At 49.8% G+C, this 22,953-nt stretch overlaps 2 protein-coding genes across 15 annotated transcripts, besides 3 other annotated features; one reads left to right on the top strand and one right to left on the bottom strand.

The window, feature by feature from the left end:
* Positions 1-1,314: 1,314 nt before the first annotated feature.
* On the bottom strand, positions 1,315-5,664 carry TMEM176A (transmembrane protein 176A). 5 transcript variants are annotated; one of them, XM_011516376.4, is made up of 7 exons: positions 5,465-5,664; positions 4,709-4,897; positions 4,108-4,218; positions 2,977-3,033; positions 2,601-2,813; positions 1,961-2,071; positions 1,315-1,606 (listed from the first exon to the last, which is right to left on the bottom strand). In XM_011516376.4, the coding sequence occupies exons 1-7, from the start codon at positions 5,498-5,500 to the stop codon at positions 1,565-1,567; spliced, it is 759 nt and encodes a 252-aa protein (XP_011514678.1). In that variant the 5' UTR covers positions 5,501-5,664; the 3' UTR covers positions 1,315-1,564. The 5 variants fall into 5 exon arrangements, with proteins under 5 accessions (XP_011514678.1, NP_060957.2, XP_011514680.1 ...); NM_018487.3 differs by having other exon boundaries at positions 5,605-5,664; XM_011516378.3 differs by lacking the exon at positions 1,961-2,071.
* Positions 4,973-5,672: an enhancer, noted in NCBI's record as "H3K27ac-H3K4me1 hESC enhancer chr7:150497849-150498548 (GRCh37/hg19 assembly coordinates)". NCBI's record gives its function as "activates a minimal SCP1, AML or CMV promoter by ChIP-STARR-seq in naive H9 embryonic stem cells {active_cell/tissue: H9 hESC(naive)}" and the evidence as "EXISTENCE:reporter gene assay evidence [ECO:0000049][PMID:30033119]".
* Positions 5,073-15,132, top strand: TMEM176B (transmembrane protein 176B). Of its 10 annotated transcripts, NM_001362691.2 has the most exons (9): positions 6,069-6,135; positions 6,815-6,822; positions 7,256-7,313; positions 9,859-10,067; positions 12,362-12,472; positions 12,833-12,889; positions 13,118-13,345; positions 14,258-14,377; positions 14,810-15,132. In NM_001362691.2, exons 3-9 carry the CDS (start codon positions 7,271-7,273, stop codon positions 14,900-14,902), a joined length of 861 nt encoding a protein of 286 aa, NP_001349620.1. In that variant the 5' UTR covers positions 6,069-6,135; positions 6,815-6,822; positions 7,256-7,270; the 3' UTR covers positions 14,903-15,132. The 10 variants fall into 10 exon arrangements, with proteins under 10 accessions (NP_054739.3, NP_001349620.1, NP_001349621.1 ...); NM_001362692.2 differs by lacking the exon at positions 6,815-6,822; NM_001101311.2 differs by lacking the exon at positions 7,256-7,313.
* Positions 5,673-6,372: an enhancer, noted in NCBI's record as "H3K27ac-H3K4me1 hESC enhancer chr7:150497149-150497848 (GRCh37/hg19 assembly coordinates)". NCBI's record gives its function as "activates a minimal SCP1, AML or CMV promoter by ChIP-STARR-seq in naive H9 embryonic stem cells {active_cell/tissue: H9 hESC(naive)}" and the evidence as "EXISTENCE:reporter gene assay evidence [ECO:0000049][PMID:30033119]".
* Positions 6,373-7,072: an enhancer, noted in NCBI's record as "H3K27ac-H3K4me1 hESC enhancer chr7:150496449-150497148 (GRCh37/hg19 assembly coordinates)". NCBI's record gives its function as "activates a minimal SCP1, AML or CMV promoter by ChIP-STARR-seq in naive H9 embryonic stem cells {active_cell/tissue: H9 hESC(naive)}" and the evidence as "EXISTENCE:reporter gene assay evidence [ECO:0000049][PMID:30033119]".
* Positions 15,133-22,953: the final 7,821 nt, after the last annotated feature.

Here is a 22,953-nt window from a genome sequence, read left to right as displayed (position 1 = left end):
GGGGGTTTATCCAAGGAGTGGGAATTCCATCCATAAGTCCATGTTAGGGCCGGCTTGTATTCACGAATCTTCATCTGACTCCTTTCACCAAGAGTTTACTTGTCATCTCCCTCAAAGGAGTGGATTTTTTCCCAAATGTCCTCTGAAAGTGAAGATTTATACTGGGTCCTTCACTGTAACTCTCCAGCTTAAGTGGCTCTAGGCTTCATTTACTGTCTTTCACATAGTTATTAAGTGCAGTTTTGGGTTGCAAGAGGTTGGCAGATGCCCTTAGGGCAGTGTGCAAGAAAGAGTTAACACAGAGGGTCACCCTTTACAAGGTTTTGCTACCCTTGGCTGTCTTCTAGGAATTGGGCTTCTGGAATGTTCCTTGGCTGATAAGGTGGTTTTGTATGCCTGCCTACTAAATTCCAGTCTATCAGCTTGCCTAGACTGTACAATATGATTTCAGGTGGACACCTGCTTTTCCTCTGGGAGTCTGGAATTGCAGTAGCTGTGCAGGTGGAGGGAGTGCCTATGTGGCCAGCTCTCAATAAAAACCCTGGTCTTTGAGTCTTAGGTGGGTTTCCCTGGGCAGAAACACTGCTGTGTTACTGTGTGGCCTCTCACCGTGGGAAGATATAGGAAGCCTGTGCCGGATTCTTCCAGAGTCCGCCTAATGTGTTCTTTCCCCACCTTGTGTATCCTTTTACTATAATATAACTTAGCCATGAACACAACTACATGCTGAGCCCTGTGGGTCCTTCAAGTGGAACACTGAGTATGTGGGTGGTTGTGGGACTGACACAGGCAGATACTGGCTTCTACTCTCTGAATTCTTGCCCCTACTTCTACTATAGGCTTTGATGGCCTCCATCTTTTTCTTGGTTCATAGTCATGAATTTAAAAATACATGATTCATATTTTATCAAGGAGTTTTAGGATTTTTTATGGGGCAATTTGTAAGGGTTTCTATTTTGCCATGTTGTTGGATGTCCTTTCTATGTTGTTGGATGTCCTATCGGTGTTATGTTGTCTACTTAATTTTTTCAAACAGTCACAATAAAAAAAAATCTAATTCTTAAATTGCCAAGCATTCACCTTCTTAAATGTGAGTGGTAGGGAGTGGGCTCAGAGTCTCAGCCCCGTTCATCCTTTATTCCTAGGCTTTTGAACCTATAGCCACAGGATCAGCCTCAAAGAGGTTCTAGCTCCAGGGCCAGCAACTCTAGCCTGAGGCAGGAGGTTGGGGAGCTGTGGGAGGTTTGCCATTGGCTCCTTCTCCACTTCCTCCTCCAGCCAAGAGAAATTCCCTGGAATAACTAAGCGAGAACCTGGGAACAATAACATGAGAGTTTATTATCACATGACTACTCAGGAGGGGACATGAAGCGGAGCAGGATGGGGAAGGGGTGTAAGGAATGGGCAAGTGCTGCTGGAGCAGGGCTGTGGCCACGGTCATGGGGCCAGGATAACTGGGGCTGTTGAAGAGCCTCTTTTCCTCAGTCTGGTTCTTCTTCCAGCAGTCAGATGCAGGGACGCCCGGTGCAGAAGCACCAGGCACTAATAATCAGGAGAGGCATGGCTAGATTCCACTCACTTCCAACATTTCCTTCTGGTCTCTTTTCTAATGGAAGAGGAAAGGCAAGACAATCGTGAGTGGGAGAGAAAGGGCGGAGTCTCTCCTCCAGGGGCAGCTTAGCTCTGGAGCTACCAGAATCAGCAGCATGGTACCTGATCCAAAGGCATAGCATGGATATGGACTTCCCTGGATTCCTGGGCTCTTTGACTTGGGGGCCACTTGGTTGGGGATAGGGGCTTTCTGGGCTGGGCCACCACTGGGTAGAAAGACAGGCATGATAATAGGTGGGACTTGGGTCATGGGCCCCTTTCTCCTCCCCAAACTGTCCACTGTCCATTCCTGTCTCCTTTGAGCAGTTCCACTGCCCCAAATACACAGGCACACACCTTAGGGACTCACCCCTTTGGTTGGGAACATTCTCCAGCAGTACAGCCACAGAGGGGTCAGAGATGCCAGAAGCAGCAGAATCCAGACACCCAAGAGCATGGCCTGAAGGGTTCTGAACAAGGCCTGGGGACAGAGGGCCAAGGCCATAAGCACCAGGATGACAGCTGCCTTCCTGCTCTGTCCCCATGCTCCTTATTGACCTGGGAAAATCTCTACCCCTTTATCTCCAAGTTCGTGGCTTCTGGAGGGGAAGTCAATGCATTCAATGTACAGAATACAGCTGGAAACTGCTCACATTGGGCCTGTGTCCTCATTTGTACAGTGACAGGTTTGGGCTATGATTTGATTCCCTGATAACCTCCAAGACTTCAGAGGATCAAGGGAAAACATGCATTTAACACCTTTGCAGCACTTGGCACACTTGCTATAGTGGTTCATTTATTATTATTTTAATGCTTGTATTTCCCACTTGTCTGTAACACCCTACAGGAGCCATTTCTATTTTGTCTGATGCTTTGTCTTTGGTGACAATACGCAAGCTTGGTGCAGAATAGGTAACACCTATTTCTGGTGGAGAACCTGACTCTTGCCCCTGGCCTGGCCTGGCCATCCCTGCCCCACCTGCTGCTGCCCCTTCCCCTTGGCCACCTACCTTCAGCATGTCCATGAAGGAGGTACATAGGTGTAGCCTTCTGACTTCTTCTGGACTCTGAGTGGGGGCTGGAGTGTTCCAGTCACTCGAGCTGGAGATGCGGCAGGCACTGTTGTAATAAGAGTAGCCATATCGGAAATCTTCATTCCAAAGTTTGAGGGCAGCGATGGCTGTGGAGAAAGCTGCCAGCGTTAGCAGAGTCCTCAGCAGGGCCTGGGGAGGGAGGAGGCAGAGAGAAATCTTTGTGTTTCAGTCTCTCTCAGAGTCCAGTCGGGGGAAAAAAGGGCAAGGCCCAGAGAAGCCTGCAACAGGGCAGGAGATTGGGGTGACCTCCAGCCTGAACCTGGTCCCCTCCCATGCCCTTCCCTGAACTTACCCAGTATGTACCACCCCGTTTCTCGTAAATGAAGGCAGCAGCTCCAGCCAGCACAGCCTGGGGAGAGATTGAGCCAGGAGCAGGCTTAGTACAGGAAATGCAACTCCTCTCCCACGAGAGAGCCTCCATGCAGGCCCTTCCCCAGCACACAGCTTGGGCGGGAGGTTTCATGCTAAGCTTTATTATCCATGGTAAGATAATTGCTGAGAGGGTGGAGCCTGGATCCAACTCCTGAGGCTGCAAAAGGCCCTGCTTTAGTGACACCTAAGAGCTTGTGGTCAAGCCAGGTGTGAGCCCCTCTTCCCTTCTAAACCTTCCTTTTTAAACAACACCAAGTGCTTTATGAAAGTTCTAGGGATGGTGGGATCCTGTGGATAAAAGTCATGGGGTGCTGGAGAAGATCTCAATGAAGGGTGAGTCTATACAGAGTGGGCACTGTTAGGTCTAGAAGCCTGTCCTAACAGTGCCCAATAATCCACTCAGCTGGGCTTGAAGAACAGGAAATCTAGTATGTCCCAGTGGACAGGTGGACCTGAATCCTGTTTGGCTAATTCTGTAATTAAGCTGGGTATTTTGCCACAGGCTGGGTGAAGGTAATTACTCTCGGCTTCTGTCAGTAAATATGAGTGTTTTAGTGCTATTCTGAGAGTGTAGGTACCATGACCAGCCTACCCAGCTCCTGTGCAAACTGCACACACCCATCTGTTGACAACAATTCCTGGGTTTCCATTGTGTACAGGGCCTGTGGAGGACAATGAGAATAACCAGGGGGTGATGCTTCCTGGGGGACCACATACTATCTGGAACGCTCTGCCTTCCCCATCTCAATGCAAGTATCTGGAGATGAGCAGGTCCTTAGATCCTTAGTTGACATTAACTGTTGAAGGCAGGGAGAGGCAGCCAGCCTGGTGGGAACAGCACTGGGAAGGGTATGGGAGAGCAGACAGTGTGAATAGGACATGCCACCACCGCCCTCAGCTGTTTGCTCATCTGAACAGGCAGGGAATGGTCCTAGATAATCAGATCTCTCCGACTGCCAGCATTCTGTGGCGCCATGTTGGAGGAAGGCAATCAGGAGAGCAATGCCCCACCCCTCTCACAGGCAGTCAAGCACTGTCCTGCTCTACTCACCACAGCCCCTGTCCAGATGGCAGCTCCCGAGGTGACGAGGAGGGTGTAGTCGCGGATGTAGAAAAATCCTCCTAGGACTGCACTCAAGATCCCCAGCACGATCTGCATCACCTGAAAGACAAAGGACCCAAGATCCCGGCTCCTAGGTGGACCTGCCACTGCAGGGATTAACCGCTAAAACCCCAAAAAGAGAGGGAGAGGTAGAGAGAGAGAGAAAGAAAGAAGAGAAGAGAAGAGAAGAGAAGAGAAAAGGAGAAGAAAGAGGAGGAGAAGGAGAAAGAAGAAGAGGCAGGAGGAGGAGAAAAGAGAAGGGAAAGGAAGGAGAGGAGAGCCGGCCCATCCTGAGTTTGGCCCAGAGGAAAGGATGGACTCAGGGCTCCACTGATTGGGACTCTGCATGGTCAGTGGCTCCTCCACACCCCTTCAGCCCAGAGCCTCCCCTCCCCAGGCTCTTACTGAGAAGGCCAGAGAATCACATCGCTAAGTAAGAAGACATAACTGGCTCGGTGTCCTGTTCAGAGGGAGGCTGGCAGAGAGTGCTGCTGCGGCTGGAGGTGGGGAGTTCCTCCCGCCGCCCGACGAGGCAGGCCGTCACACTCACCCACGAGGCCACCAGCAGCCGGCTGCTGCCCCTGGCCTGGGTGGCCCGGGGCCGCAGCGCAGAGCAGCAGGTGAGCAGGAGCTTGGCCAGGGCAGACTCCTGGTGGATGTGCACATCGATGTGGGTGTGCTGTGGGGCCTCCGGGGCCATCTCATCACTGTCGGCTGTTCCCATTGTCAGGGACACAGTCTATGAGGAAGGGAGCACCAGAGAGGAACGGCTGTCAGAAGATTTTCGCAGATTTCATTGGAGTTGGGGAGGTCAGGGGCCAGTGGTGGCTCAAAGTCACCCAATGAATGGCTGTCCTGGTCACAGGGCCGCACCCCTGGCCCCTCACGAGGGGAATGTGTGTAGCAGAGGGGGTGCTGACCATGCTGGAACTGCGGCGACTACAGAGCCTGCGGGAACCTCCCCTTTCGCCCAAGATCTGCTCTGTCCCCCTCATCCTCCTCCCAGGGCCCTGGCGTCTGGGTCAAGCAGCGCCCCACACCTCGACCCCTCACCCCCTCCTCCCGGGCTCTTCCTGCGGCCTCCCCTCCACAGTCCGCAGGCTCTGGGACAGGACCGAGTCCTTGGCTGCCTGTGGAGCTCCTGTGCCAGCAGCTGCGCCCCGGCTGCGCTCCGGATACCCCCATCCCCGCCACCGCCGACCTCCCGCTCCACCGACTGCTGCTCACGCCCGACGGGTTCACGCCGCCCCTGCCCCGTGAAGGACCGCGCTGCGGTGCGGAGGTAGGTCAAAAGCCGGGGCCGCACCTGGCTTCCTCTGCAGTCCCCTTCCTGGAGTGTCATCCCTGGGTGGGGGTCCCTCCTACGCTCCTCCAACTGTGCGGAGGCAGCTCGGGGTGCGTGCGGAAGGAGGCCCGGGGGCCGCCGGGAGTGGGGTGCCGCCTCACCTGCGCTCCTCGGGACCTGCGAGCGGGCGGCGGGAGGGCTGGGGCGCTGGCTGGAGAAGTGGGTTGAGAGTTGGAGGGGGAGGCGGGGAGGGGAGGCGGGGGTGGGGCTGAACTTCAGCCCCTCGGGTTCATGACAGGCTGCAGGGCCTGGGGTCCGTCTGGGGTTCTCCTGCTGCGCGAGGGTCACTGGGCTCTGGGGAGCTGGGAGGGTCCGCGGGCGGACGGCCCTGGGAAAGCCCGTGGGGTCGTTCTCGCCTCCAGCCCCGCCCGGCCAGGGCCGGCGTGCAAGTGTGCGCGAGTGGGAGCGCAGGGGGCGCGCGGGGGCTCGGTCTTCTCCCGCCCGGTCCGCTCCTCCGGGCGGAACCCCCTTTGCCGGGCCCCCGGGCCGCAGCTGGTTTCGGGAAACCGCGCAGCCTGGGCGGGGCCGCAGCCCCCACCCGTGCATCTGCCGTCTCCGCCCTCCCGTCGCTCCCCTGCTCGGGGTCAGCTAGTGTCCGCTCTGCTCGGCCGCGGGCTCCCGGAGGACTGCAGGTGAGGCAGGGCCTCCGCGGCCCGGGAGACCCTCTTGCCGCAGGACCCTCTGTCACGAGGAGTCCCCAGGGCCATGCCCCCACCCCGTCCTGTCCACAGGACGTCTTTCTTCCTCCAACCTGGTTTCCAGGAGGACTCACGTAGGAGGGAGGGACAGCTGGGTGCAGGTGTTTCTCCCCAGAAAAACGGCTGGAGAGCGGGAGGAGAGGCCTGGGGCTGGCGCGTCCCGTCCACCTTCTGCCGCCTGCACGCCTGGACCCTGGCTGGAGCCCTACGGTGGGGTGGCTCCTGGGACGGGGCCAGGGAGCGGCGGGGCTGCCGGACGCTTTCCCCAGCCCCGGGGCACGGGAAGAGCTGGACAGAGGAAAGTGTTCGGGGCAGCCGGGAAGAGCCCACCACCTACCAGGCGTCGGGCGGCCCGCAGGGGAATCTCCGTGGTGCCGGCCTGGTTCAGATCCGACTCTTCAGGCGGGGGCGAGGCAGATCTAGGGGTTGGCGTGGGGCGGGGGAAGCGGTGGTCCTGGGGGCCCGGAGGTAGCTGGAACCCGAGGTGCCCTCAGGGCGAGGCCTGGGCCGTCAAGGGAAGGTCTGGCTGGAATCTGGGGCTGGGCTGGAAGCAGTCTGAAGCTCCTTTGTACGTGTGCGGAATTGTCTAACTCCTGTCCTTTCTAACCCCAAGGAGGCCAGGTGGGTGAAAGAGTGAAACTGCTTTGAAAAGTAGGTAGAGTACGAATGGGAGGTGTTATTAGAATTGTTAATAATATTTGATTTAAACTGTGATACTTAGCCAGGATGTCCATTAGAATTGCCTATGCAGGATTTATTTTAGAGCCAGGCAAGCTGATTCTAAAGTGCATGTGAAGAAGTAGTCTAGCAAAAATGGCCATGACAATTCTGAAAGAAAAACCACACGAGGGGATCATGAAACAGCCCAATTAGCATTAAGCTCCATGTTAAAATTGTGGTAATGATGCCTAGCCCATGAGACATGCCAATGGGCAGAATATAAGGACTAGAATAGGCCTACATTCCTAGGGGAACTTCATTTCTGCTCAGGAGAGAATTTTAAATCACTGAGAAAAAGAGGATGTATTTTCCGCAAATGGAACGTATCTTTCAGAAGTTAAACATCTGAATGACAGCAACAGAACTTGGATCCGTGTCTCCCAACGGCGAAGGTTGGTCACCCAGCTCCCAAATTCCAGATGGTCGGCATTTAAAAGTGAAAACTGAAAGCATAAAGGCACTTAGAAGAAAATGTGGAAGATTATTTTATAATCTCGAAACGGGGAAGTCCTTTAAAAGTGTAAGAGCTAGACACCATAAATAGAATGAAATAGAACATGGATTGTATGAATATACAAGCAAGGTCAAAAAATAAACTTCAAATTGTAAAGAAACATTTGAAACTCATATCACAAACGGTAATTTTGTGAATAGATAAAGAACTTCCATAGAAAAAAGCAAAACAAAACAAAACGAAACAAGGACATAGGATGTGAACGGAGAGCTCACAAAAGAAGAAATAAAAATGGCCCTGAACATATGAAAAGACAACCAACCTCACTCATAATAAGAGAACTATGGGCCAGGCGTGGTGGCTCACACCTGTAATTGCAGCACTTTGGGAGGCTGAGGTGGGAGGATTGCTTGAGTCCAGGAGTTTGAGACCACCCTGGGCAACAAAGCAACACCCCATCTCTCTCTCTAAAAAAAGAGAACTGGCCGGGCGCGGTGGCTCACGCCTGTAATCTCAGCACTTTGGGAGGCCGAGGCGGGCGGATCATGAGGTCAGGAGATCGAGACCATCCTGGCTAACACGGTGAAACCCCGTCTCTACTAAAAATACAAAAAATTAGCTGGGCTTGATGGCGGGCGCCTGTAGTTACTCGGGAGGCTGAGGCAGGAGAATGGCGTGAACCCGGGAGGTGGAGCTGGCAGTGAGCCGAGATCGCGCCACCCTAGCCTGGGCGACAGAGCGAGACTCCATCTCAAAAAATGAATAAATAAATAAATACATAATAAAAAAATGAAATAAAAGAAAACCATGGATTAAAAATATATGGAAATCATTACAGAAAGCAGGTCAGTGGTTGCTCATGGCCAGTGGTTGGGGGTATTTTCTGGGGAGGGGCTTTAGGGAATGTATTGCTGTGTAGGAATGTCCTTTATCTTGATTGTAGCTGTAATTGCACAAATGTGTAAATTTGTCAAAACTCGTTGAGATATACATTTAAAATGGGACATTTTTATTACATAAAATTGATTAAAATCAATGCATTTTTCCCCATATAAAAGGAAAAAGATAAAAGAGTTTGCCTCCTGCATGTGAATTGCTACCACCTCCGTGGAGGATAACTGACAATATCTACTAAAATTGCAAATGCGCATTCCTGGTGCCCTGCCAATTCCACATTGTCTGTAATGGAAAAGGATTAGAAATAACCTAAATGTCTGCCAATAGGGAACCACTTAAATAAATTATGAGGAATTCATACTCTCAAAATATATGCAGTTACACAAATGAGTGAAGAAGCTTTTGTGAAAGTTGTCAGAATCATAATCGAGTCACTTGAGTTAAAAAAAAAATCTGAAAATGGAAGGCCCACAAGGCAGGGTTCTCATGCGTAAATAACCTGGGAACAAAAGTCATCACAAAGGACTCTGTAAAATGACAACCTTACACAAAAAAATACTTCTGTGAGGACATCCACCAGCAACTGCCTGTCTAACCCTGGACTTGTGTCACCCTTGTTATTGATCCTTGTAGCCAAGGATGATCACCTCAAAGAGATTATGTAAGTCTCCCCATTTTTCCTTTAAAAACCTTTGTCTTCCTTTACCTCCCTGAACGTGCACATGATTTACTATGGTAAGCATATTCTCATTGCAATGCCCTATTCCAGAATCAATCTCATTTTCTTTTGGAGAGCCTCTCTCTGTTATTTAGGTTGACACTTTTTATGGACTCATGTAGGATTATTCTAAAAACATATGATCGTGTGATCACAGCATCATGCAAATCAGTGTGTATAGTATGCTGCTATTTGTGGGAAAAGGGGGCAGAAATACTTTTTCACACTTTTGTATGCAAAAATGTCATGGTAGGATTTATAAGAGACTGATAATATTACTTTGCATCTGCAAGGCAAATAGGTGGTTGAGGGAAAAAGATGAGCGATAAGGTTTTAAAGGTATATATACCCTTTTGTATCTCTTAACTTTTTTATGTGTAAAATCACTATTGATTTCCAGTGCCATTGATATCTGCACTGGGAAGCCCCTTTGAATTTTGACAAAGACACTGTTTTTTGTTTGTTTGTTTGTTTGTTTTTGTTTTTTTTGAGATGGAGTCTCACTCTGTTGCCCAGGCTGGAGTGCAGTGGCAAGATCTGAGCTCACTGCAACCTCAGCCTCCCAGGTTGAAGTGATTCTCCTGCCTCAGCCTCCTGAGTAGCTGGGACTACAGGTGCACACCACCGTGCGGATTTTTGTATTTTTAGTAGAGAGGGAGTTTTGCCACATTGGCCAGGCTGGTCTTGAACTCCTGACCTCAGGTAATCCACCCACCTCAGCCTCCCAAAGCACTGGGATTACAGGCGTGAGCTATTGTGCCCAGCTGGGATCTTGACAAAGACACTATTTCTCTCCTTTCACCTGTGCTGTGTATTTTTCCCTCGCCTAGTTCCCAGACCTCACTGCTATATGTCTTCTCCCTGGCAGGCAGGATGACGCAAAACACGGTGATTGTGAATGGAGTTGCTATGGCCTCTAGGCCATCCCAGCCCACCCACGTCAACGTCCACATCCACCAGGAGTCAGCTTTGACACAACTGCTGAAAGCTGGAGGTTCTCTGAAGAAGTTTCTTTTTCACCCTGGGGACACTGTGCCTTCCACAGCCAGGATTGGTTATGAGCAGCTGGCTCTAGGGGTAAGACTGGGGTGGTGCGGGGTTGGGGGGCACGTTAACGAGGTGATGAGGTCAATTAAAATATAGAGCCAAATCTTCAAAATTAAAACGTTTTATTTGGGAGGAGAGAATTGCAATTTGGGGCATACACACAGACCAGGTGGTCTCCAGTATGTCTTTAGAACAAAGAGAAGGTTAGAGGCTTATAAAAAGGAGAAATGTTACATATTGCCCTTCATGAAAGATCATAGGTTTTGGGGAGCTGGTGAGCTCTGATGGGTGAGCGATGGCATGAGTAAAACTAATCCTAGAGTTGTAGCAAGGTCAGAAGCTGTAGATAAAGCTGGTTTCAGGTTGCAGCAGGCAGCTTCAGCAGCCTGATTTGTAGAGAATTACATTTTGGGAGCAACATTTTGTGCCCCGAGTGCTTTTTGCCCCTGGCCTCTCGACTCTGTTTTAGTTGAGTGTGACAAGAATGACCCCATTTGTAGGCTCAGCTTTCACAGTGGAAACTCTCCTTCTTCAATAGGATGCAAAAGAGGAAAGTGGGTTGAATTCCCATGAGAGGGACATGAGAAATCACTATTTATATCTCATTCTGTGTAGGAAAAAGTTGTAAGTGTCCCCACAGAAATTTGGATGGAAAGGAAGAATCGACCTCCTCTTTGGCACAGAGGAGTCGGTCCCAGCCAGAGGTAGGGCAACAGGAAGAACAGTCTAGAGGCTGTTAATTCGGTTTTATTGACCCCACATGGACTGAAAGCCTACAGGTGCAAGGCAATGTGTTCAGCACTTCAGGCCAAGCTACAGAGAGAATCCCTGGGCTATATCTAAAAGTACTCAGTGACCATCAGAAGGAACAGCAGCTACACTAATGACTGGAACTAAAGGTAGATCAGGTGAGGGAGAAGCACATCTGACATCCTTGAGGGCAGGAGAACCCTGAATGGAGAAGGAATAGGTATAGACAGAGGTGGAAGATGGACAAAAAAGAATTCCAGGTTAAAGAATGGCAGGAGCAAAGGCAAAGAGGCCAGAAGGCATAGGGCAAGTTCTATAATGGTTAAGAGTAAAGGGAATGGGCTTCATGAATGGGTGATTTGGGCCCATATTGCTGAGAGCCTTGAACGACCAGGTGAGGAGTCTGTCCTGAATCAGCTTTGACAGTGAGAACGCTGTCAATGGATTCTGAGCAGGAACCTGCCTCAGAGTCAGGAGGCATCCAGGTGAGAAGGATCGAGGATCTGCACTCACATAATCATAGCAGAAATGGTGAGGAGACAAAGGAGTCCCTGTCCTTCACAGACCTCCATGGCATGGGAGTGAAGGGGTTTGGGGCATAAGGAAAGAGAGGCATTCACAGCATGCAGAGAGGGTTGAAGTGTGGGTGACCAGGAGATCGGAGCCCTGAAAGTCAGGAGGAGCAGCCATTCGAGAGGTGTGTGTGTGTGTGTGTGTGTGTGTGTGTGTGTGTGTGTGGTAGTAGGGGATTTGGATGTGACAAATCCGAGATGCTGGTAGGATGTGGAGGTGGTGACAGTTGGGTTTTCCAGGAAGAAGAGGAGTTCTCTTCTGAGTCGGAGTTGGGTGTGTGAACGGCTTATTGGGGTATGACACCTATGAAATGAAAAGAGGGGGAGCAGGATTGAGCAGGAGGAACCATCAGGCTGCAATGCAGACTCTGCCAGGCCAGTGGGGGAGCTCCCAGGCAAAGGTTGCCCACTGCAGGAGTTCCACACTGGGTGGAGATGGCCCTTGAGCCACTGTCTTGCTTAATCATTGGCTGGGGGGCCCTCCTCAGTGTGTGTCTTCAGCTTGAAAAATTAGGGTGACCCTGAAGGAGCTGACAACTGCAGGCTGTCAGCAATCAAACAAGCCCTTTCTTGAAGGAGGTCTCAGCGGCACTTCTTTGTGTCTGCCACAGAGCCCTCAAGAGTGTGTGTTTGGATCTGAAGAGAAAGGATAGGCCAGAAGCTCAGGTCAGGCTGGGGGTTTGGATGGGACAATGGGACCTCTGAAGGAGAATGGGGGGGGAAAAGTGGGAATCTTCAGGTGGGATGAGAAAGTGTTGAAGTTGGGAAAAATTGATGAAGGATAAATAGCCAAGCCTATGAGAAGGGTGAGGGGAGACCCAGGCCAGTGCTGCTTCATGGATTTTAAGGGGACAGAATCTTCCAGAATCAGAGCTGCAGAGAGGTCAAGGCAGAGGAAAAGGAGAGGAGAGCCACCTAGGTAGGAGCCAGGCAGCTGGTCCCAGGGCAGCCGGGGCATGTGGACTCACGGGAAGGGGTCTGGTTTCTCATCCTGTCTTGCAGGTGACTCAGATATTGCTGGGGGTTGTGAGTTGTGTTCTTGGAGTGTGTCTCAGCTTGGGGCCCTGGACTGTGCTGAGTGCCTCAGGCTGTGCCTTCTGGGCGGGGTCTGTGGTGAGTAAGGAACAGGCTGTGAGCCTGGAGGGAGGCAAGTGGTGATGGGCAAGAAGGCGCTTATGGATCTTGGTTGGGGCTTTGGGGAAGCGACCAAAGTCTCTGGAGCCAAATGGCCTTTGGCCATGAGGAGGCTGCTCTGGGGTGTAGCTAAAACCCTGTCACTTCCATTTTTCTCTTGAAGACAGATGGGAGGGGTGGGGCAGGTATAGGTGGAATCCTGGTCTGTGTGTCAGAGTTCTTTGTCTGTCCCTGGGATCCTGCTTCACATTGGCTATTCTGGGAACTGCTGGTGGGAGGGTGATGATAGACCAATTCAGAAGAGTAAACTGGAGGCCTTTTTCTGGTGTCTCTTTTCAGGTGATCGCAGCAGGAGCTGGGGCCATTGTCCATGAGAAGCACCCGGGCAAACTTGCTGTGAGTCTTGGACACCCTCTCTCCACCTTGTTCACTGACCCCCTCCTGAATTCTGCTCCATTATCTGTCTTCTGCCCTTTGGTTGTCAATATCTTGGGGTCTTTCTTGGAGGGGAGGAGAGGGTTTCCTGGACAAGGGCTGGGGAAGAGGAGAGGGATTTGAGGCGGGGACCTCATGACTCTTCCACCGATTGAAGGAGCGTGTGTCATGACCCTCTTTCTCTTCCAGGGCTATATATCCAGCCTGCTCACCCTGGCAGGCTTTGCTACAGCTATGGCTGCTGTTGTCCTCTGCGTGAATAGCTTCATCTGGCAAACTGAACCCTTTTTATACATCGACACTGTGTGTGATCGCTCAGACCCTGTCTTCCCTACCACTGGGTACAGATGGATGCGGCGAAGTCAAGAGAACCAATGGCAGAAGGAGGAGTGTAGAGCTTACATGCAGATGCTGAGGGTGAGCAGGAAGAGTCCAGTCTTCGGGGACCCATCACAGCTCTTTTTTCCCAGGGAGCTGGGGGCCCTGGAGGACAGAGATGTAGGCTCTTTGAGCTTGGACTTCATGCTGGGTCTTTCATTCAGGAGGTTTTAATGTAAGCTACAGACATTTTTCAGACCTCATGACACGAAGATTCTCTGAATCAAGGAGGGTGAGGAACAAAGAGGAGACATTTCAGAGAGGAGATAGTGGGTCACCCTTCTGGCTTTTCTGGTGTGTTGGTATCACAGTTTTCCATTACTGAATTAAAAACCACACCAAAATGTAGTGGCTTAAAATGACAACTTATTATTTCTCACGGTGCTGTGAGTTGGCTGGATTCAGATGAGCCATTCTCACTCACGGGTTTTCTCATGCAGTTACAGTCAGATGGGGGTGAAGTTATCCAAGTGCTCGCCGAGGCTGGAGGTCTGAGATGATGTAGTTGCATGGTCCGGAGCTCAGCGGGGGCTGTCAGCAAGAGCCGGCAATGGCTTCTCCACTTGGCTTGGGCTTCTCATAGCACAGAAACTGGATTCCAATGGGGAGTACCCTAGTTGCAAGCATTTCAGGAGACAGAAAGTAGAAGCTGCCAGACCAGCTAAGGGCTTCCCTGTCACTGTATAGTGTCACTTTCACTGTGGCCAAAGCAGTTCTAGGCCCTTCCAGATTCTACGGGTTGAAGGAATAGTCTCCACTTCTTGACAGGGAGTGATAAGTTCACTCTGCAGACAAGCCAACGGGATGGAAGCTGTGGCTGGAAACACAGTCAGCTGTGGTGGGAGCAGCAAGCTGGATAGAGTCAGTGCCTGGGTGGGTGGAGAGGGTGGTGATGTGGGCAGCATTGGAGTAGCTGACACCTGACTATCTTTGTTCTTCCCTTATCTCCAGAAGTTGTTCACAGCAATCCGTGCCCTGTTCCTGGCTGTCTGTGTCTTGAAGGTCATTGTGTCCTTGGTTTCCTTGGGAGTAGGTCTTCGAAACTTGTGTGGCCAGAGCTCCCAGCCCCTGGTGAGTTGTCGGGGAGGGGCCTCTGGGCAGCGTGAGTCTGGGTGGTGAGTGTGTGGGACAGGTAGGAGTGCGGGGCCAGGGGCACCCGAACCTGAGGCTGGGCCTGGTGCCCCTCAGCTTCTTTCCATATGCAGCTCTCCCCTTTGCTGTCTGGGGAATGTGGCCATCACCATGGTCCTGGGCCAACTGTCGCCGCCCTGTGCCTCTCTGCGCCCTCCTCTGCTCTGATCTCCCCACTCTCCCCTCTGCCCTGTCCCAGGTGTTCGTCTGACTCCCCTTCCTCTGCCACCTTGTTTTTTTTTTGCCTGATCTGCTTTTCCTGTCACCTTTTCCTTTCCCTCCTCCTTTCCTCTTTCTGCTTTCTGAGTTCTATGATACTAACTCTGCCTGCATCCTTTTCCCCTAAGGATTTCTTTTTTCTTTTTTTTCCAGAATGAGGAAGGATCAGAGAAGAGGCTACTGGGGGAGAATTCAGTGCCCCCTTCGCCCTCTAGGGAGCAGACCTCCACTGCCATTGTCCTGTGAGCTGCCAAAGACCCCACGGGGTGCCCGCATGTCCCTGTCTAGGGCAGCCCAGGGCCCCCACTCCTGGCTCCTCACACTTGCCTCCCCTATGGCCGCTCTCCAGACCCTCCTCCTTTCTTCTCCCCACATCCGCACCTGCTGTTCCCACTCTGGGGTTCTCAAGTCCATGAACAGATATTGTTGCATTTTCCACAATGCTGATTAAACATAATAAACAATCCAGAAAAGCAGTTTTGCCCAGAAAGATATGGTTTCCCTTTGTTTATACACCTCGTGCGCCATGAAAGGCCTTTCTTTGTGTCGCTATGTATGAGGTTAAATGGGAGCTGATTTATCCCATTAAAACACTGTCCCAAGAAGATTAAATTTAATTATGTTCTGCTGTACATCCAGGTGGCAAAACCCCTTTTTATGATTTTCTTCAATTCAGTGTAAAGTGTAAGTCTAGTGGGCCTAGAATCTTCTTACCTGCTGAGATTGTCTAGGCTCCTACAACCTCGGCCTGTAGACTTAAGAGAACTGTGTGGAGCATGGAATGAGATTTTTGCCCCCTCCCTCCCTGTCTTCCTTCCTTTCTCTTTTTTCGTTTTGCAGTAATTAGTGTTGGTTCTGTCTCTTTTCCTGTCTCCACACACACATAAACACATCCTTAGTCTTCCTTCCTTTCATTGTAAATGATAGCAAACTGATTTTGACTTTTTCCATTTTCTTTATATATGAAGATATAACATAAATATATAGATGTAAGCATTTCTGAAGGGCAGGAAAGCTGGTAGGGGCTTTATGAAATCTCCATGAGGCCAGTTTCATGACTTAGCAGCCCCACAGGGCTGGTCTTCAGATCCAAGGCGATGGGCTGCAGGGCCTGCACCTTCCCTCTTGGCAGAGCGGTGCCACAGAGGTGCAGAGCTGCTGCGCTGGGCAAGACCTGCTCCTGCACAGGACTTGGAGTAGGGGCCTGTGCCGAGGGCGGTGCTGCTCTTCCTGGGGCCCTCACCAGCCTGTGCTTTACATAGAGGCTTGTAAAGAAGCCTGCGAGACAGGAGTGTGTTCAGAATATGGACAGGGTCAGCCGATTACAGCCTGAGGGGTAAATCCAGCCTGCCATTGAATTTTGTAAATAAAAATGTATCTAAACACAACCACACCCATTTCTTTACACATTGTACCTGTTTTTGTGCCACAAGGGCAGAGTTGAGGAGTCTTAACAGAGACTGAATGGCCCACAAAGCATAAAATATTTACTATTAGGCTTTTTACACACAAAGCTTGCTGGCCCCGATGTAGGAGCTTGCAGTGTAGAATGTTACGTTCTGTTTCGCTGTTGAGGGGTGTGGAGTGCTCAAGAATCCCTTCCAAGGGGAGCCAGCCTTGGATGAGCAGCGGGTGTGTAGCCAGCTGGTTTCCTCATTTCCCAGGGTCCAGAGCCCACAAATCATCAGGCAGAAAAACTTGGACTCAGAACCATTGCAGTCCCCATCCCTCCCTCAGTCCCCAGTAAAGAAGACATTAGAATCTCAGAGGAATTTAGAATCTCCTGAACCTCAACATTTATTTTACTGCCAGTGATGGAGTAATGGAAGCCCCCAATTCTTTGCTAAACAGGCAAATGTAAAGTAGCTAAGCCCAGAAGCCAAGCTGGGTTGAAATGGATAGTGTGGAAAGAGACCCATTAGCAGGGCAAGAACCTATGGGGCCTCACTTAGCCAGGCTTCAGGGAATGCTTAACCCATCAAAAAATGCGGATGGCTGCCTTTCCCCGTGTCTCATGTTTCCACACATCTTGTGAGCAGTGGCACTGACTGCCTTTTCAAAGATGTTCTCACCTCCTAATGGGCAGCCTTGGAAAATAGTGTCTTCTTCTGGACCAAAGGACAGGCATGATCACCTGTTATAAAAGAATCAGATTCCTTAAGCTCAGGGTTCCTTTTCTAGAACCCAGCCCACCGGCTGTGCTGGTGTCACCTGCAATGCCTCTTTGCATTGTCTGTGGGAACTGGGGTCCTAGAACCCACGCAAAAATGCTGCTACCGTGGCCACTGCTATTGCCGTGTGTAATAAATTGTTTTTTGTCATAACTCGGGGTTTTGTGGCTTCTACCAGCATCCATGAAACTGTGGCAGACTGACTTGTTGACCTGCATGTACAGTTAGATCTCAGACCCTTCACCGTTCCCGACTACCATGTCCTGCTGTGTGCAGGGTTATGATACACACAGACTTAAGACAGAGCTTCTGACACCAAGAAGTTTACAGTCTGCTTAAGAGGTGAGGCATAAACCCTTTACTACAAAGAACAAATGTTACTTGACTGCCAAGTTAGCGATGCAGCAGGCAGGAAGGTGGTGTGCTTGCTGAAGAACTGTAGGAAGACAAGGAACATGAGAAAGGAGAATGCAAAGTAGCAGACACTCAGGGGCAGAGCACCCTGAGCTTGCCGTTGCTCATGTCGTGAACAGCCATGAGAACGCAGAGTGCGCAGGGCTGCTCAGACCTCAGTGTCCATGGGCACATTTGATAGGACTGAGTTACTTGCCCACTCACCACCCTGACTCCAAGGAACTTTGGCCAAAGTTGGGCAGGGGGGTTGTCTTTTAGTTGTCACAGATGTTGATATTCAGAACTCCATCTGCAAAGATCTCAATCTATACTGCAGCATGGACAGAGGGCTGGTCCTCAAGCCTGGAGAGTACCAGAGTCCTTGAGGCAGGAAGGAAACCTTTTTTGCTTCTGGGGTAGGGTGGGAGGTGGTGGGCGTGAGAGGCTGAATTTTTGTCCCCTCCAAATTTATATGTTGAAGCCCTCACCCCTAGTAGCTCAGGATGTGACTGTATTTGGAGACAGTGTCTTGAAAGAGGTAATTAAGTTAAAATGAGATCATTGTGGTGGGCCCTCATCCAATATGTCTGATGTCATATTAGAGGCAATCAGAATGCCGACAGGCCCAGAGGGAAGGCCACCTGAGGACACAGGGAGAAGACGGCATCTACTAGCCAAGGAGAGCCTCAGAGGAACTCCGCTGGTGCCAAATCTTGGACTTTGGCCTTCCAGAACTGAGAGAAAAGAAATTTCTCCTGTTTAAGCCCCTCAGTCGGTGTTTTGTTACGGCAGCCCTAGCAAACTCAGACACTGGGAGACGGGAGACAGCTTGGGACAGCCTGAGAGGGGGATCAGGTGTGCCCCAGCACTGCGTTTTCAAAATCCCTTCCTTGTTTACTATTGAGGAGCCCTTTGTGCAGCCCTCCGGGTTCCCCATAAAGGGGTGCCTCTCATGGTGTGGGACCACACCTGCCTTTGCCACAGCTGAAAGCTGCAGTTCCCAGGAGCTGGTGTTCCTGGCATATCACCCTGAGGTCTCATCACATCCTCAGGCCACCATCGCCCTCTGTTGCCTGGTCCCACCAGCCTCTCCTCTCCCTCCACATCTGACTCCTCAGGGTCTCCAGGACAGCTCCCCACTCCCTAAGTGCCGCCTGAGGGGCACCCCACCCCCTTTGTCTTCACAACATCTCTTCTAGCATAATCTCTATAATCACAGGCATTTCTAGCACAGTCTCCTCTAGTATAATTTCCAGTAAATCTCCTAGGCTTTTCTGGTATAATCTCTTCCGGGAGCTCAGACGTTAACAAGCCAGAAAGAGCAGCTTCTGCTTTCTGCTTTGGATATCAGCCAAAACTGTCTGAGGCCGAGAGAGGCTTCTGAAATGTCCTTCTATCAAGGGCCCAGCTATATGGTCAAAAAGAGGAAGTAGAAATACTTGGAAATCTGGGGCCACTTAAGTCTGTTCGTTATCTTGTCCTGATGACCTTGGGTGCTGACATTTGCAGCTCCTGCTGAATGTCCTCTCTGCCCTAAAGCAAGGCCCTGCCACTCTGTTCTGGGACCTTTTCTTTCTGTTTCCACGTAAGGCAGATGACTCTGCTACCCCAGAGTGGGGCTTTGCAGGAGCTGCCCTGTTTCAAACTGGGCATGTCTGTTCCTTGGGATGTGTCACTGGAGCAGAATGAGGTGAAGGAGGGAGAGCCTGGCCAGGGATAATGAAGGAGCAGTAGAAACTCTACTCTGTTCTCTATAATCATGAGGGCTTTGGGGGCAGAGCACGGGATTCTCTGTGCAGGTCACACTCCCCATGGGATGGCACAGTGCTGACCTGTTGGCACTAGCAGAGCAGGTGGCATGCGGACACACCTGGTCCAGACTGGAGGCGAGGGAAGATGTCACAGTTTCTCGGCTCATAATCCTGAGCTTCTCCATGGGCTGGAGGAAGGTGGGAGCTATGTTTTTCTTGTATTCAGCCTTCTACGGGTTATTAATAAATATTCAGTCAATAAGCAACAAAAAAATTTTTTTTTTTAGAGACTAGGGGGTAAAGGTTGATTTTTTTTTTCACTTCTATATTCTGTAAAAGAAAAATTTTGGCAGCCAGTGGGTGGTCTCAATTCTTGCTGCTCAAGGTGTGATCCACTGGCCTGCATGGGCAACCCTGGGAACTGGCTAGAGATGCAAAATCTCCTCCACGCCAGACCAGCCAAGTCAGAACCTGCATTTTCACAAGGTCCCAGGCACTATATGTGCTTCGTACATTTCGAGGGGCATGGGTATGAATATTACAGTTAGGTGGTTTGCAGGAAAGAATTCAGATACAGAACAGGGCTCTGAATTTAATCTCTTTGTTTTCATTCTTTTCATGAACTTGTTAACCTTGGAGTTTTACAAAATAATTCTAGTGGTGGCTGGACGCGGTAGCTCACACCTGTAATCCTAGCACTTTGGGAGGCCAAGGCGAGCGGATCATGAGGTCAAGATATAGAGACCATCCTGGCTAACATGGTGAAACCCCGTCTGTAGTAAAAATACAAAAATTAGCTGGGCATGGTGGTGCTCACCTGTAGTCCCAGCTACTCGGGAGGCTGAGACAGGAGAATCGCTTGAACCTGGGAGGCAGAGTTTGCAGTGAGCTGAGATCATGCCATTGCACTCCAGCCTGGGCGACAGAGTGAGACTCCATCCCCTACACCCCCTGCCAAAAAAAAAAAAAAAACTCTAGTGGTTTTGAAATACTGAAATTAAAAGTAAAAAGTGGTCTCTTTCCTTAGCTGAAGATAGTATTAATTCCTGTACTTCAGTGTCTCTAAGTTAGTCCTTTTATGGCTAGATCCAGTAGCAATTCTTTTCCTTTTTTTACTCTGGTAGACAAATGTCAACTTGGTGGTTTTCTTTTTTCTTTTTCTTTGTTCCCCCTGGGTTGTTGTTGCACAAAATGGCCCCTTTCTGCCGGGCAACTTCTGTATTTTTCCCCTGGAGTTTCCAAGCCTCTGAGTGAAGATGGTCTCCCCTCTATCTGATCCCTCTCCCGGCCCCACTTCCTCTATTCCTGTCTCTCCTTCCCATCCTTTCCCCTCTCCCCTCCTGTGAATAGCCTTAGAAGTCTGAATCTTTGTGCTCTGTAGAAAGTCAGATGTGACACTCCTTCTTTCTGCTTCTGTTTACTTGGAAAAGCTGACAGCTATTTGTCTCTTTGCACAGCTCAGTCTTGGTGGTAAAACTGCACAGACACAGATGGGCATGACTTCACGGCCCTGGCACGAGGGCATGCAGATAATCTCAAGCCTATTTGTGTGCAACATATTTATTGAAGGATTTAAAACCATTCAGAGTATAAACAGGAAATGATTCTTCTTCTTTTTTTGTTTTCTAGTCACTTCTTTTAACTGTATTTTGTCAACTCACTCATTCCCCATTGGATCTTGGGTTCTTTAACATCAGGACCAGATTCTAGATTTCACAACTCTGTCATTGCCCAATCCTTTTCGTGTTAAAAACTGCAGCTATCGGCTGGGTGCAGTGGCTCAAGCCTGTAATCCCAGCACTTTGGGAGGCCGAGGCGGACGGATCACAAGGTCAGGAGATCGAGACCATCCTGGCTAACACGGTGAAACCCCATCTCTACTAAAAATACAAAAAAATTCGCCAGGCCTGGCGGCATATGCCTGTAGTCCCAGATCCTTGGGAGGCTAAGGCAGGAGAATGGTTTGAACCTGGGAGGTGGAGGTTGCAGTGAGCTGAGATCGCGCCACTGCACTCCAGCCTGGGCGACAGAGCGAGACTCCATCTCAAAAACAAAACAAAATAAAACAAAACAAAACAAAACAAAACAAAACAACACAACACAACTGCAGTTATCGGATCATGGTTTGCCTGTCTCCCAGAGGAGACTCAGATTGCTGGACGGGGAGGAGCTGGGGAGGGAAGTGTGGTCAGGGCTGACTCCTCTTCCCTGCTGCTTTCCCACTGCTCTTCTCACCCCACTCCAGCTGAGACAAGGAAGAGGGATGCAGGGCAAGGTTTCCAGAAGTGACTGGCCGCAGGAAAGTTGCAGAGGGAGTAGTGTCTGGGCTTCGCATTCACAGCCTTTGCTCATGTGATGTGGGTGATGGGTGGTGTCTAATTCTGTTGCTCAGTGTGGGAGGCACTTGGGAATTACCCTGCCCTCTGCTACCTTAGCTGCCTGGGTCAACCAGGAAAACCTCCTGGAAAAGTATTTCTAGAGGAGGAGGATATGAAATGGCAGAAAGGAGAGGATTTTCTTGTACTGGGAAAATTCTTTTGACCACCTCTTGCCTCTGCAAAAACCCAGAGTCTGCTTTTACAGATATTTCTAACTCTAAAGAAATCTTTAGGGTTCTCTAGCGGATGGCATGAGGCCCTGTGGTGTCAAACTTCACAGAGAAAGCCTGGAGCCTCAGATCCAAAGAAGCACTCACACAAAAAGTTGCAACAAAATATTAGGAAAACTGCCAAATGTACAAAAAAATCCCCTCCTGAAGTAGGAATTCACTTTCACTAGGTGCTGCTGTGAACTTCAGGATTTATCTCATTTACCTCCCTCCCCTGACTCCTCACTTTCTTACTGGTTTAATCTATTCCTCCTGTTTCACCCCTAAAAACGAGGTTTGTTCACTTGCCAAGTAACAAACAACTTTTAGCGGGAACTCAGGTTTTCATTAATGGGAGGCCTTGTACTTCGTACAAGTGAGGAGAGCACTGAGGGTATTCTCCAAAGCCATGCCTCCCCGACAGAAAGTGACAGGAGGGCTTATGGGGCCGTGGAGAGGGTGCGTCATCGTCATCACATGCAGAGGATTCTCAGCTGCACTCAGCGAGTCCTCATGCCAGCATATAGGTGGTGTACAATGAACAGGAAACTGTAACTTCCCCGGGTGGAGGTTTTAGTGTGGGCATGAGCAAAGTCCACTCAGGTTCATCTCCTTTTTTTTTTTTTTTTTTAAAGAGACAGAGTCTCACTCTATTGCCCAGGCTGGAGTGCAGTGGTGTAATCATAGCTCACCACAGCCTTGAATTCCTGGACTGAAGTGGTCCTTTCACCTTAACTTCCCAAAGTCCTGGGATTATAGGCATAAGCCATCATACCTGGCCCCGCAACTGATTTTTGAATGTTGATTCTGTATCCTGCAACTTTGCTGAATTTACTTATTAGTTCAAACAGATTATTAGTTCAAACAGATTTTTTGTGTGTGTGTGTCTGAGTTTGAAATCTTTAGGGTTTTCTACCTATAAAATCATGTTGTCTGAGAACAGAGATACTTCTGCTTCTTCCTTTCTAGCTTGGATGCCTTTTATTTATGTTTCTTGCCTACTTGCTCCGGCTAGAACTTCCAGTACTACATGGAATAGAAATGGCAAGAATAAGCCTCCTCATCTCATTTCAGATATGAGCAAAAAGGCTTTCAGTCTTTCACCGTTGGTGTTAGCTGTGGGATTTTTATATAAAAATATTTTATTTAATTATATGTTTTGTGATTTAAAAAAAAATTTTGACCTCATGTTTGTTGGAACTTTATCTGTGGGATATATTTGAAACCTAGGTTGATGAATGTACTTTTTTCAGAGAAGATTTTAGTTTGTTTCTGCCAGAAACCTGGGATCACTATAAGTTTGGGATTTAAAAAATTCCCAGATTGAGATTTTTTGGTATCATAAGTTGAGGCTATAAATTCTACATATTTTTCAAAAGATTTCTAGTGGATTAA

The sequence above is a fragment of the Homo sapiens genome, chromosome 7, assembly GCF_000001405.40.
Source record: "Homo sapiens chromosome 7, GRCh38.p14 Primary Assembly".
Taxonomy (NCBI): domain Eukaryota; kingdom Metazoa; phylum Chordata; class Mammalia; order Primates; family Hominidae; genus Homo; species Homo sapiens.
This window is presented reverse-complemented; position numbering and strand designations above follow the sequence as displayed.

Coding starts and splice junctions, on each gene's coding strand:
- TMEM176A (XM_011516376.4), bottom strand. CDS start 5,500: ATGACACTCCAGGAAGGGGACTGCAGAGGAAGCCAG. Junction 4,219..4,708: donor GGCTGCTGGTGGCCTCGTGG/GTGAGTGTGACG, acceptor TTTGTCTTTCAG/GTGATGCAGATCGTGCTGGG. Junction 2,814..2,976: donor AACGGGGTGGTACATACTGG/GTAAGTTCAGGG, acceptor CTCCCTCCCCAG/GCCCTGCTGAGGACTCTGCT.
- TMEM176B (XM_047420258.1), top strand. CDS start 6,209: ATGCCCCCACCCCGTCCTGTCCACAGGACGTCTTTCTTCCTCCAACCT. Junction 12,473..12,832: donor CCTTCTGGGCGGGGTCTGTG/GTGAGTAAGGAA, acceptor GTCTCTTTTCAG/GTGATCGCAGCAGGAGCTGG. Junction 14,378..14,809: donor GCCAGAGCTCCCAGCCCCTG/GTGAGTTGTCGG, acceptor TTTTTTTTCCAG/AATGAGGAAGGATCAGAGAA.